At 41.9% G+C, this 12,282-nt stretch overlaps 2 non-coding genes across 2 annotated transcripts, besides 3 other annotated features; both read left to right on the top strand.

The window, feature by feature from the left end:
- Positions 225–807: an enhancer, noted in NCBI's record as "H3K27ac-H3K4me1 hESC enhancer chr5:65529586-65530168 (GRCh37/hg19 assembly coordinates)". NCBI's record gives its function as "activates a minimal SCP1, AML or CMV promoter by ChIP-STARR-seq in naive H9 embryonic stem cells {active_cell/tissue: H9 hESC(naive)}" and the evidence as "EXISTENCE:reporter gene assay evidence [ECO:0000049][PMID:30033119]".
- Positions 3,333–3,436, top strand: LOC124901205 (small nucleolar RNA U13). Its single transcript, XR_007059169.1, has one exon. It is a non-coding gene; the product is annotated as a small nucleolar RNA U13 (small nucleolar RNA).
- Positions 3,437–8,640: 5,204 nt separating this feature from the next.
- Positions 8,641–8,831, top strand: LOC124901219 (U2 spliceosomal RNA). The gene has a single exon (XR_007059178.1). It is a non-coding gene; the product is annotated as a U2 spliceosomal RNA (small nuclear RNA).
- Positions 10,921–11,420: an enhancer, noted in NCBI's record as "H3K4me1 hESC enhancer chr5:65518973-65519472 (GRCh37/hg19 assembly coordinates)". NCBI's record gives its function as "activates a minimal SCP1, AML or CMV promoter by ChIP-STARR-seq in naive H9 embryonic stem cells {active_cell/tissue: H9 hESC(naive)}" and the evidence as "EXISTENCE:reporter gene assay evidence [ECO:0000049][PMID:30033119]".
- Positions 11,421–11,922: an enhancer, noted in NCBI's record as "H3K4me1 hESC enhancer chr5:65518471-65518972 (GRCh37/hg19 assembly coordinates)". NCBI's record gives its function as "activates a minimal SCP1, AML or CMV promoter by ChIP-STARR-seq in naive H9 embryonic stem cells {active_cell/tissue: H9 hESC(naive)}" and the evidence as "EXISTENCE:reporter gene assay evidence [ECO:0000049][PMID:30033119]".

Below are 12,282 nucleotides of genomic sequence, written 5' to 3'. Positions count from 1 at the left end.
TCCCCCAAGCACAAAGCCTTCCATGAGCTCCCGCTCAAGTCCTGGGCCTGTGGTGCTGAGACATGACAGTGGCGTCTTGGTGGTCAGGCCTTGGGGTTAGGAGGGAGGAGGAAGGAGATCCTGACCGTGACAGAGAGATCTCCACGGCCACAGACTGTGGGTGACATGTAGCAGGAAACACTTTCTCTTCTTAGATGCATTCCTGCAGCCTGTGAGGGGCTCAACAGCACTGCTGAGCCACATCCTCCCGCGCACACAGAGAGGCAGAGGGCTGGACCCCATTCTGGATGCAGACCCCACAGCACCAGGCTGGAGAGTTCCCCCTGGCTTAGGTTCTCCCCTTTTGTCAGGCCCTCTCAGAAATGTGCTGTCTGCAAAGCTATTGCTCAAGCAAAATAAAAGGCAGCCAAACTGAAGGCCTTCTGGACATTTTAGAGACAAAACAAGCATGATTTCCACCAGTTAATTTTATCTCAGTGCCCACATGATGAGATCCATTATGCAGGCCACATGGCAAACCTAGTTACATTGCCTGGTGGTGGCCAAGGGGGCTATGTCTGGATCGTCAACACCATTTGATTATGCCAACCAGCCTCCTCCAATACACACTTGGCTTCCATGGTCCAGTGAGACTCAAAGAAGAACAACTATTTCCCTCCCACTCACTGCCCAGACTTGTCTCTAAGCCCTTTTTCTGTTACAGAGATGACCTAGCACATAGGATCTCGTAAAACTCTGCAGGATACAAAATCAAAAGGTTAGCTTTTCCTCTAAAAGACAAAGCAAGAGTGGAAAATGGAAGTTATAAACAATAAGGCTTTTCGCTAAATAGGTAGGCTGTTTTTCTCTATTAAGCAATGAAGATGTGCTTCTTCATAACGCCTTTGAAAGGATCAATGCCGTCCTGCAGAGTAATGGAGTAATGTTGACTGGTCTCCAAAACACAGTATTCAGAGTTGGATGTTTGAACAAAAATCAACTTAAAAATAGAGCAAAATGCAGTAAAAGAATTCCCAAGTGAGTAAGCAGGTGTAAATCTTCCATAAATTTCCCCGATGGCAGGGAAAAAAAAAAAAAAAAACCAACTCTTATCCACACTCCCACCTGTGGAGTATTTACCTGGTATTTACATGCCAGGAGCCATGCTAAACAATGTACAGGATCCCCTAAGCCATTTTCTCAACACCACTCTGTGGTGGGTACTGTTCTCTTTTTTATGCAGATGGGAAAACTGAAGCTCAGACATGTTAACTAACTTGCACAAGGCCATATAGCTAGTAACATGGGCAGGCCGGTTTAAGCCTGTAGGCTTAATCATTAGTCTATACTGCCTTCCAATCTTATGGCCTAATGGGATACCTCCCTTGAGGAAGAAACAGAAAACACAGTGAGGGGAGAAAGATCCAATTGCCTCTGAAAATATTGGTGAGGGGCACGTTGCTTTTCTGCAAAGGTAACAATCGCCACATAGACCAGTGGGTGTGGTGTGTTTCAGGATATGTGAAGGAGGCCCAGATGGCTCACGTATTGTTTTGTTAAAGCGGGAAGCAGTCACTCCCATCATTGGAAGGAAAAACAAAGGTATGCCTCAGCTCCAGACCAGCTCATCACGGCTGCCAGCTGCAGACACTTCATTTGGTCATGACCCGAGTGTTAGTGCTGACTGCTATGACGTGTGAAAGGGCCCCAGGTCATCAGCCCAGAATGCCAGCACAAGGAGACTTTCTGCTTCTCCATCCTGCTATCTATGAGACTCATTCTTCACTGCCAGAATGACAGATTGCCTTGTGTCACACTAGGCGAAAGCACGCACGCACACACACACACACACGCACAAACAGGTGATGCTTCAAAGAAACTCAGCTTCACATGAAAAGCATGAGGTGATATAAATTAAAGAACTCGGCTTACGTATGTAATTTCAAATGGGAAAAGGGAGCTGGTTTTTATTATTACACCAAAAGATGATTTAAATATGTTAGAGAGTCGGTAACTTCACCATAGAATCATTTTTTGTATATGTTAACCCTCAGAACTGTAAGTCAGAGATGATTCACTGGAAAAAAAAAATCAATGCCATTCATGTATAAAATGCAGGAAACACCCAAGCCCATAGAAGTTCAAGAGAAATAGAAGGACAGTGGGAGGGCAAGTGAAAATACGGTTGCGAAGAAAAGCCAGCTCAGTGTTTAAAACTGGCCTCAAAGCAGATAGAATATAGCATCATAACCACGAATTGACTTAAATGTCATAAGACAAAAACCAGCTATGGAAACTGGAACTATGAGCTGATTTATGAATGGCCATAATAATAAAAAATAATAATTTATTGAAGATCTACTATGTGCCAGACAAAATAGATATTATTTCCATTTTACAGGTGGGGAAACAAATGTAAAGAGATTGAATAACTTACATCACGTGCCACAGATGATAAATGGCAGAGCCTGAATTCATACCAGGGGGCAGCTGAATCCAAAATCCATAATTGTTTTAGACTATGTGGGAAATGGCTACATTTTTTAAGACTACAAATTGGGAAATGGCACCCAATTTGAAGGATGTACAGAAGGACCTGGAGCAAACACTCTCAGTGACCTGTCCAACATCTGTTCTCCCTTTTCTCCTTCCTGTCCAAACCTCAATTCTGTTAGATATTTAGTCATCTAATTTTCATTCCCAAAGGGAATCCTGATTGATCTAAGATGATTCTTAATTAGTATTCTCTAATTATTGGTCTAAGGGTGAGTCCATGACCTTAGATGACCCGGTTATACTTAAGGGAGGAGCATACATTCCATGACTGGGAGAAACACTTCACTTTTTCCTGGATAGGACAAGGAAGCCTGCTGCCCTTTGACCACTGGCAGCCACAGTGTGACGGTGAAAAGAACCACCTAAAGACAAAGGCAACAGCACAAGGATGGCATTGTGATAGAAAGAAAAAAACAAAACAAACATGTTTGTGGAAAAAACTGTTGAGCTGCTGACTTAACCAATTTTGGAAGCTGTCACACTTCTGAATTTCTTATGTAAAATAAAGAATGTCATTATTTTTAACTAATTTGAGGCAGAGTTTCTGTCACTGGCATATGAAAGCATCCTAATTAATACTGGCTTCATGCCCACATTATCTTCTTGAATTGCCCATCAATTTCCATGTTGTGCAAGTAGAGATTTATTCCTTTGAATACTTGTGTTTCCTAATAGGTGATGATGGGTAAATAACTATATAACTTTGGAGAGGGAACTATTTTTCTTATCATTGCACCAAAAAAAAAGACTTATAAAGAAAAATGTTAATACATTTAACAACATAAAAAGTTGAAATGATCCTTTTGTGGTTGGTAAGCATGATAACTGGATTTTCACATTCATGTGTGAAATGTGCCTCCTTCAAGGCTTGTTACCATGTAGGCACATTACCCAACTGATGTGAAAAAAAAAAAATTAAAAATTTTGCATATAAAAATTTGATAAATAAAATGTAAAAGGAAATAAAAAGCTAGAGAACATTTTTTCTGTATACAATATAAAGAGTTAATATTCTTTTTACCTAAAAAGCTCTACAAATAGATGAATTCTCCAAGAGGAAAATGTATAAAGGACATGAAGAAGCAAAGGACACTAAATAGATTTTTAAATGTTCTATCTTCCTAGTAATCAAAGGAATACAGATTAAAATATGATACCATGTTCATTTACCAAATGTTAATGTTTCTTCTTTAGTAAGAATGTGCTGGCTATCGGCTGGGTGCCCCAGCACTCCTCAGTCTCCAACAGGCTAGCCTCAGCCTGTCACCATGGCAGCAGCAGCAGGAAGTACACAAGGCCTCTTGAGGCCTGGCCTTAGAACTGGCACACAGTCACTTCCAATGCATCTTAATTAGCCAAAACAAGTCAAAGATCAGCAAAGATTGGAGGGAACTAACACTGACTTTTGATGGGAGGAGTTTCAAATTATATTGCAAAAGTTGTGGTTACAGGGAAAGGTGGACAATTAGGGCCAATTTTCAATCAATTACAAGTATATACTAATTATCTCAATTACATTTTTACCAGAAATTTATGTATATCTGACTATATATCATCTAGATATAGCTATATACACACATATATATGTGATGTACATGGATATACAGATAAGTAGGCCATCTGTTGAAATCTATTCCAAATTAAACAAGCACTACACAAAAGAGAATAAACAAAAGGCCAATAAGTCTATGAAAAGATGCTCAATAGCACTAGTTGCCATGAAAATGTGAGTTAAAACCAAACGAAACACTACTACCTTCCCACTGGAATAGCTAAAACTAAAAAAAAAAAAAAAAAAAAAAAAAAAAAAACCACAATGCCACATACTGGCGATGAGGTATGTAGTTATTAGGACTCATACACTGCTGGTAGGAATGTAACTTGGTAGAACCACTCTGGAACTTGTCCATATTTACCCAATTGAATATATGTTCACTCTATGACCTAGCAATCCTGCTCCTACATGCATCAGAGAACACGTTTAAGAATATTCACAGGAGTATTTTTTTTTTTTGAGACAGAGTCTCACTCTGTCACCCAGGCTGGAGTGCAGTGGCATGATCTTGGCTCACTGCAACCTCCGCCTCCCAGGTTCAAGTGATTCTCCTGCCTCAGCCTCCTAAGTAGCAGGGATTACAGGCATCCGCCTCCACGTCCAACTAATTTTTGTATTTTTAGTAGAGACGGGGTTTTGCCGTGTTGGCCAGTCTGGTCTTGAACTCCTGGCCTCAAGTGATCTGCCCACCTCATCCTCCCAAAGTGCCGGGATGACAGGTGTGAGTCATTGTGGCCCAAATCAATTTAAATGTTCATCAACAATAGAATGGATAAATATGGATGTTCCTCGACTTTCAATGCTATGTCCCAATTAAACCATCGTAAGTTGAAAATATTGCAGTCAAAAATGCATTTAATACACTTACCCTTACTGAACACTGTAGCTTAGCCTAGCCCCTACCTAACACAAAACCTATTTTACAATAACATTGAATAACTTATGTAATTTATTGAATACTGTACTGAAAGCAAAAAACAGAATAGTTGTATGGGTACCCAAAGTATGGTTTCTACTGAACGCACATTGCTTTCATGCTGTCATAAAGTGGAAAAACCATTAAGCCAAACCATCTGAGGTCGGGGACTGTCTGTAAATTATGAAGTTTTCCCAAAATGGAATATTATACAGCAATAAAAAGAGCAAATACAGCTGCTAGCAACAACCTTGATAACTCTCTAACAGACATCAGTTTGAGCGAAAAAAAAAAAAAAAAAGATCCAAAAAAGCACAGTTGAGCCTTGAACAACACAGGCTTGAATTGCACAGGTCCACTTAGACTCAGACTCTCTTCAGCCTCTGCCACCCATCAGACAGCAAGGCCAACCCCTCCTCCTCCTCCTTCTCAACCTGCTCAATGTGAAGATGACAAGGATGAAGACCTTTATGATGATACTCTTCCTCCTAATGAAAATAGTAACTATATTTTCTCTTCTTTGATTTCTTAATCACAATTTCTTTTCTCTAGATTACTTTATTGTAAGAATACAGTATATAATATATATATACAAAAATATGTTTATTGGCTGCTTGTGTTATCAGTAAGACTTCGGACAAATAGTAGGCTATTGGTAAAGTTTTCGGAAAGTCAAAAGTTATAAATGGATTTTCAACTGTGTAGAGGGTCACTGTCCCTAACCCCTGAGCTATTCAAGGGTCAACTGTATATATTTGTGATTCCAGTGCTATAAAGTTCACACACTGGTAAAACTAATCTGCGATTATAGGAATCAAAATAGTAGTCACCTTTGGCAACAGGCCAGGCGATCCAGACATGGCACAAGGAAGGCATCTAGGGTGCTGCTAACATACTAATCTTGATGTAGATTGTGGTTTTACTTTGCAAAAATTCAAGCTGTACACTTAAAATTTGGGCTCTGAGCTGTGTATATGTTATACTTAGTAATATTTACAATAATAATGTTTGTAATATAATAGTAAGAATTAGATTTTAAGTGTCTCTTATTAAAATGCAAACACCTCTGAGGGAGAGTCCTCATTTTAACCCATCACAGAGCTCTCCTGAGTGGGGACCGGTTGAGCACGAGCTGGGAGCCAGATAAGAGCCTGCAGGGCTGGCCAGGACTCAGAGACCATCTTCTGTTGGGATGAAAGGGGACAGGCTCTAAAGACACTCGAGGGAAGACAATAAGCACTGCCAGTTGGCAGTCACAGGAGAGGGCCCCAGAGAATATGTATGCAAAGGGCGGGTCCTCACTGATGGCAAAACCAGGCTCAGTGTTCTTGGATCTAGACAGCTCTGTTTCTACTCCAGCTCCTTCCTACTCTCCTCCTGTCCTCTAATGGGAATGAGGCTAGGCTAATGGGAATGAGGCTAGGCTTTCATGATCTTCCTGGCCCTTTTAAATTACCCACACACAGCAAAGAAGAGACCACAATGCTAGTTTCTAGTGAGAGTTGTTGCAGAAATGTCATGAGACGTGACAGCAAGTTTAAAGGGACCTAGAAGGTGTCCAGCTGAAAGGGCTCTTTCTTATAGCTCTCTGTCATTTTCCCTCTCCTTTTTAACTCCATTTTCTCCATCTAATCCCTCATTGTCAACACATTTTGAATTTTTTCATCGATAAAAAAGAGATCCATGTTCCCTAGCCTTGAGGTCACCTAATGGATATTTGGGACAAGCTGCTAGAGTACAAGGAAGGAGGATATAAATAAAAAGATAGAACTCATTCAAGAGGACTCTGCATTAAGGCAGACTATTAATATAAATCATTGCATTTCTATAACAGCAGGGGGGATTTATCATTTCATTTATCCAGACTTTGCTGAAGAATTTTTAAATGTGCCACAGTTTGCCCCATAGGCGTCTGAAAGCACATGTGATTTTAACCAGTGTAATGTTTGAGTACGTCTGGCCCCCTATCAAGGTTGATAATAAATGTGATTTACAAAAATGTAGCAAAGTAGGTCACTGCTATCTGCAAACATGGCTCACAATAATCAAAGGAACATAGGAAGAAAATGATGGGAACATAGGAAGAAAATTTCCAAGATGAGAAATTAAATAGTGTGCCTTTTCTGGACAGACAGAATCCACTGCAAAAGCACAACACTGATTTGCTTTTCAGCCACCAGACCTACTCTTCTTGTAGCCACGTATGACTAAGCCCTAGGGCAATGGCAATAAAATCAGAAACCATTTGGTAAGTAGAATCTTGGGAGATTATATTGACCTATGTGTCCCTCATGGTGTCCCACCATGTTAAGCCAAACAGTGCCCCAGCTAAATCCTAACCCAAATAGGCAGAGTATACAAATAAGCCAAAGTCATAGTCACTTCCCAAGTACCTCCCTGGCAGTCCCACCCACCTCCTGACACAGTATCATGACCACCCATGTAACAAAGGAAGGACTATTATCAGGATACCCTGCTCCCCACCTATAACCCTTAGAGATCTTATGTTTCCAATAGGCAGCATGATCAACTTTCTTAGCACCCAGAGCCAACACAAATGTTCTGCATTCTAGGTTTTATATACCAGTGAAAGGAAAATATGTATTCTTCTTTTATCCAACTATTGCTATGTTTATCAAGGACTATAACTGGGCCCAAAACCTAGATGGAACAGGTTCATTTAATAAGGGTGTTCTAATGCAACAGCTGGACATGAAAAGAAAAGGAAAGAAACAAAGAAAAGCCACTGTGCAGATATCTGAGGAATCCAATCCTGATCTCATTTTCATAAAATTATGAAGTCCCAACAGTACATAGCAGTTACAAACTCTGCTTCATGAATCTTCATTCATTCACCCAATCAATGTGTCCTGACCATCAGCTGTGACCTAGAAACTGCTGGGGTGGGGAAAGCAGTGATTATTCATAAGATGTAATCCTTGGCCTTAAGAAACCTTGAGAAGTAGGAATATCTGTGTGTGTACACATGCTCAGAAATAGGTCATTACAACTGAGTGTGCAAGTGCTATGGCTGGGGATATAAGGCCTCTAACAAGTATAGCAAGCTGACTCAGGCCACCCACAGATCAGGTCCTAATCCCTGGAACCTGTAAATGTTACCTTATAAGGAAAAGGGGTCTTTGCAGATGTGATTAAGCTAAGGATATTGGCATGAGGAGATTATCCTGATGGGCCCTAAATCCAATCATAAGTGTCCTTATATGAGAGAGAAAGAGGGAGATTTGATACAGACACACAGTAGAAACGGCCATGAGAAGACAGAGGCAGAGATCAGAGTGATGCAGCCACAAACCAAGGAATGCCGGCAGCCACCAGAAGCTGAAACAGTCAAGAAAGGGATTCTCCTCCAGAACCTTCTGAGGGTGTGCAGCCTGAACTACATTCTGACTTTGGACTCTGGCCTTCAGTCCTGTGACCAAATTCATTCCTGTGTTTTAAGCCATCAAGTTTGTGGTCATTTGTAATAGTGGCCACAGGAAACTAATACACCAAAAGTTGGGAAAGACTTTCCAGGGGGGAAACAAAAATGCCTGAGCTGCGTTGTAGAAGGTGTGGAGATGGAAAGTGAGAAGTCAGTGGTTGGTTGTGGCTGGTGTAGAAAATGCAAGAAGGCACCACTTCTCAGCCTTTTAGCTAAGACCAAGTGTAGTATATGTTCCTATCAGTTTAAAATGCAAGAAAGTGAGAGAGAAGACCAGTCGTGGGCTACATTATGGGGCTACATTATACATTGTCAATTATTTGTTTTGTTTGACATTTATTCATGGTGAATGAAAGGGAGCTATTGCAAGGTATTCAGCCATTTACAATTTAGACTTACATTTCAGAAAGGTCTCTCTACCCATACTGTAGAGACCTTTACCACCCCCACCCCCATATCTAGTCTATTGGGAAATCCTATGGACTCTATATTCCAAATACATCCAAACTCCTGCTTCTTTCCCTGTAGACACTGTTACCATTCTGATCCAAGCCATGGTTGTCTCTTCTGGATTTTGAAATAGGCTTCCATTTGGGCCTCTGCTTTTCTTCTTGCCTGTCTGTAGCCTAATCTCAACACAGCACTCAGCATGTCACTTAAATCAGGTCATGTCACTCCTCTCCTTCCCATTTCACTCAGAGCAAGAGCCAAAGCCCTAGAATGCCCCTTCCCGTGCTCCACTGCCTCACACCCTGGGCCTGACCTCCCTCCCTCACCCTGAGGCAGACACAGTGCCTCCTCTCTGCCACTCCCTGAACACACCAACCCAGTCCTGCCTCAGGCTTTTCACACACCGTTTGCTTTGTTTGGAATGATTTGTCTCTTTGATATCCCTTACCTCCTTCAAGTCTTTGCCTAAATGTCACTGTCTTGATGAGGTTTACCCTAACACAATTGTATTTTAAACTGCAACCTCCCTCTTACCCTGCTTTTCCTCTTTTCTTCCATATCTTCTAACATGTCTGATATAGTTTGGGTGTTTGTCCCCTCCAAATCTCAAGCTGAAAAGTAATCGCCAGTGTTGGAGTGCGGCTTGGTGGGAGGGGTTTGGGTCATGGGGACGGATCCTTCATGAATGGCTTGGTGCTGAGTTCTCCCTCTGAGTTCATGCAACATCTGGTTGTTTAAAAGAGTGTGACACCTCCCCCAACTCTTGCTCCCACTCTCGCCATGTGGTGCCTGCTTCCCCTTCACCTTCCACCATGATTGGAAGCTTCCTGAGGCCCTCATCAAGAGCAGATGCCAGCACCATGCTTTCGGTAGAGCCTGCAGAACCGTAAGCCAAAATAAACCACTGTTTTTTATAAATTATCCCAAACTTAGGTATTCTTTTATAGCAAGAACAGACTAATACAATATCTAAATTTGCTTATTGTGTTTATTATTTAATATCCATCTCCCCCTCTAAAATGTAAGCTCCATGGAGAAAGGAATCTTTGTTTTGTTCACAGCCATAACCTAGGTGATGACACATATCAGGTGCTGAAAAAATATTTGTTGAATAATTAAGTGAACAATGAATGGGAACAGGATAGAGCAGAGGTGACCCTGGAGGCTGGGAAGCCAGATGAGCTCAGAGCACTGCGTAATGCTCTGACTCTAAAATGATGTAACCCATGGCAAGCCTTTAAATGTCAACTCGAAAGGATGACAAAAAAAAATATTGGTTCTGAAAATACACTAATTAGCCCACAATGTTTGCTGGACTATATTATGTCAATGTTCAGATAGATTTCGGTAAACATTCTGAACATTGGGCTTAAAAGTCATTTAACAAATATGGATTAAGCTATTATGATAGTGAAGGACATTCAAACATCGAATCTCAAAAACTTTACAGTTTGATAAGAGAAATAAGGTATCTAGAAGATTGTCACATATTTTAGAGGGGTTTTGTAAGTAGGCTGTTATAAGAATATTTGTAAGAATGCAGCAACTATAAACAAGCAATGCTGACCAAGCCATTCTCGCATATAGTATTGCTTGAGTATAAATTAAAGCAGCATTTTTGAAAAGCATTTTGGTAATACACATTAATAGCCTTAAAGAATTTTATTCCACGATCTAAAGAGAAAAAAGTGCACAGGAAAAAACTGAGAAAAAATACGCCAAAATGTTAACAATGATTCTTTCTAAAAGATTAATCACCAGATACCAGTGACAACCCAACAGTTTTATGTGACAGTGAAACCCAGCGGTCCTAGTCAGCAGGGGGCACTCGTCCATGCAGTGATTAAGGGATCCAGACTCCTTCCATCTCCTGGTTCCTCACATCCCCTAGAGCCTAATTATCAACTGCTTCCTTCCAGCAGACAGAAAAACATCTTGAGGAAAGTACACTAGTAACTTCAAAGTCTTGGCTTGAAAGTGACCTGTTTACACATCATTGGTCACATGTAGATGCAGTGGGTGAGAGGTAGGGACTGCAAAATCTATCCCCAGACTAATTATGGAAAAAAGAACAAGACGTTTGGTGAACAGTAAAGTGAGCCTTCTCTGCCACAGGGGGATATTCTTCTCCTTTATATGTATCTTTATTTTCTAAATGTTCTGTAATGAACAAGCACTGCTTTAATAATGAGGAAAAAATCATACATTTATATATACATATATATACACATATATATGTCTGCAAAAAGAAAAAAGTTAATAATCTTTGATCCAGTAAATTCATTCTTTACATTTATAATAAATAAATAATTAGATTGTGGGGGTTGGCTGGCAAAATGGCCAAATAGGAATAGCTTCAGTCCACAGCTCCCAGCAAGATCAGTGCAGCAGGGAGGTGATTTCTGCATTTCCAATTGAGGTACCCAGTTCATCTCATTGGGACGGGTTAGACAGTGGGTGCAGCCCACGGACAGCGAGCCAAAGCAGGGTGGGGCATCGCCTCACCCAGGAAGCACAAGGGGTCAGGGAACTCCCTCCCCTAGCCAAGGGAAGCCCTGAGGGACTGTGCCATGAGGGACTGTGCATTCCAGCCCAGATACTATGCTTGGACTGTGCATTCTGGCCCAGATACTATGCTTTTCCCATGGTCTTCACAACCCACTGACCAGGAGATTCCCTTGGGTGCCTATACCACCAGGGCCCTGGGTTTCAAGCACAAAACTGGGTGGCCATTTGGGCAGACACCCAGCTAGCTGCCAGAGTTTTTTTCATACCCCAGTAGCACCTGGAACACCAGTGAGACAGAGCCGTTCTCTCCCCTGGAAAGGGGGTGCTGAAGCCAGGGAGCCAAGTGATCTTGCTCAGAGGATCCCACCCCCATGCAGCCCAGCAAGCTATGATCTACTGGCTTGAAATTCTCACTGCCAGCACAGCAGTCTGAAGTCAACCTGGGACACTTGAGCTTGGTGGGGGGAAGGGCATTACTGAGGCTTCAGTAGGCGGTTTTCCCCTCACAGTGTAAGCAAAGCCACTGAGAAGTTCAGACTGGGCGGAGCCCACTGCAGCTCGGCAAAGCTGCTGTAGCCAGACTGCATCTCTAGATTCTTCCTCTCTGGGCAGGGCATTTCTGAAAGAAACACAGCAGCCCCAGTCAGGGACTGTGGGCGCAGCTTTAGCAGACTTAAACGTTCCTGCCTGCTGGCTCTGAAGACAGCAGCAGATCTCCCAGTACAGCATTCGAGCTATGCTAAGGGACAGACTGCCTCCTCAAGTAGGTACCTGACCCATGTGCCTCCTCATGGGGAGACACCTCCCAGCAGAGATCGACAGACATCTCATACAGGAGAGCTCCAGCTGGCATCTGGTGAGTGCCCCTCTGGGATG

This window comes from Homo sapiens, chromosome 5, assembly GCF_000001405.40.
Source record: "Homo sapiens chromosome 5, GRCh38.p14 Primary Assembly".
Classification (NCBI taxonomy): Eukaryota; Metazoa; Chordata; class Mammalia; order Primates; family Hominidae; genus Homo; species Homo sapiens.
The sequence above is the reverse complement of the archived record's forward strand: the minus strand, read 5'-3'. Positions and strand labels throughout refer to the sequence as shown.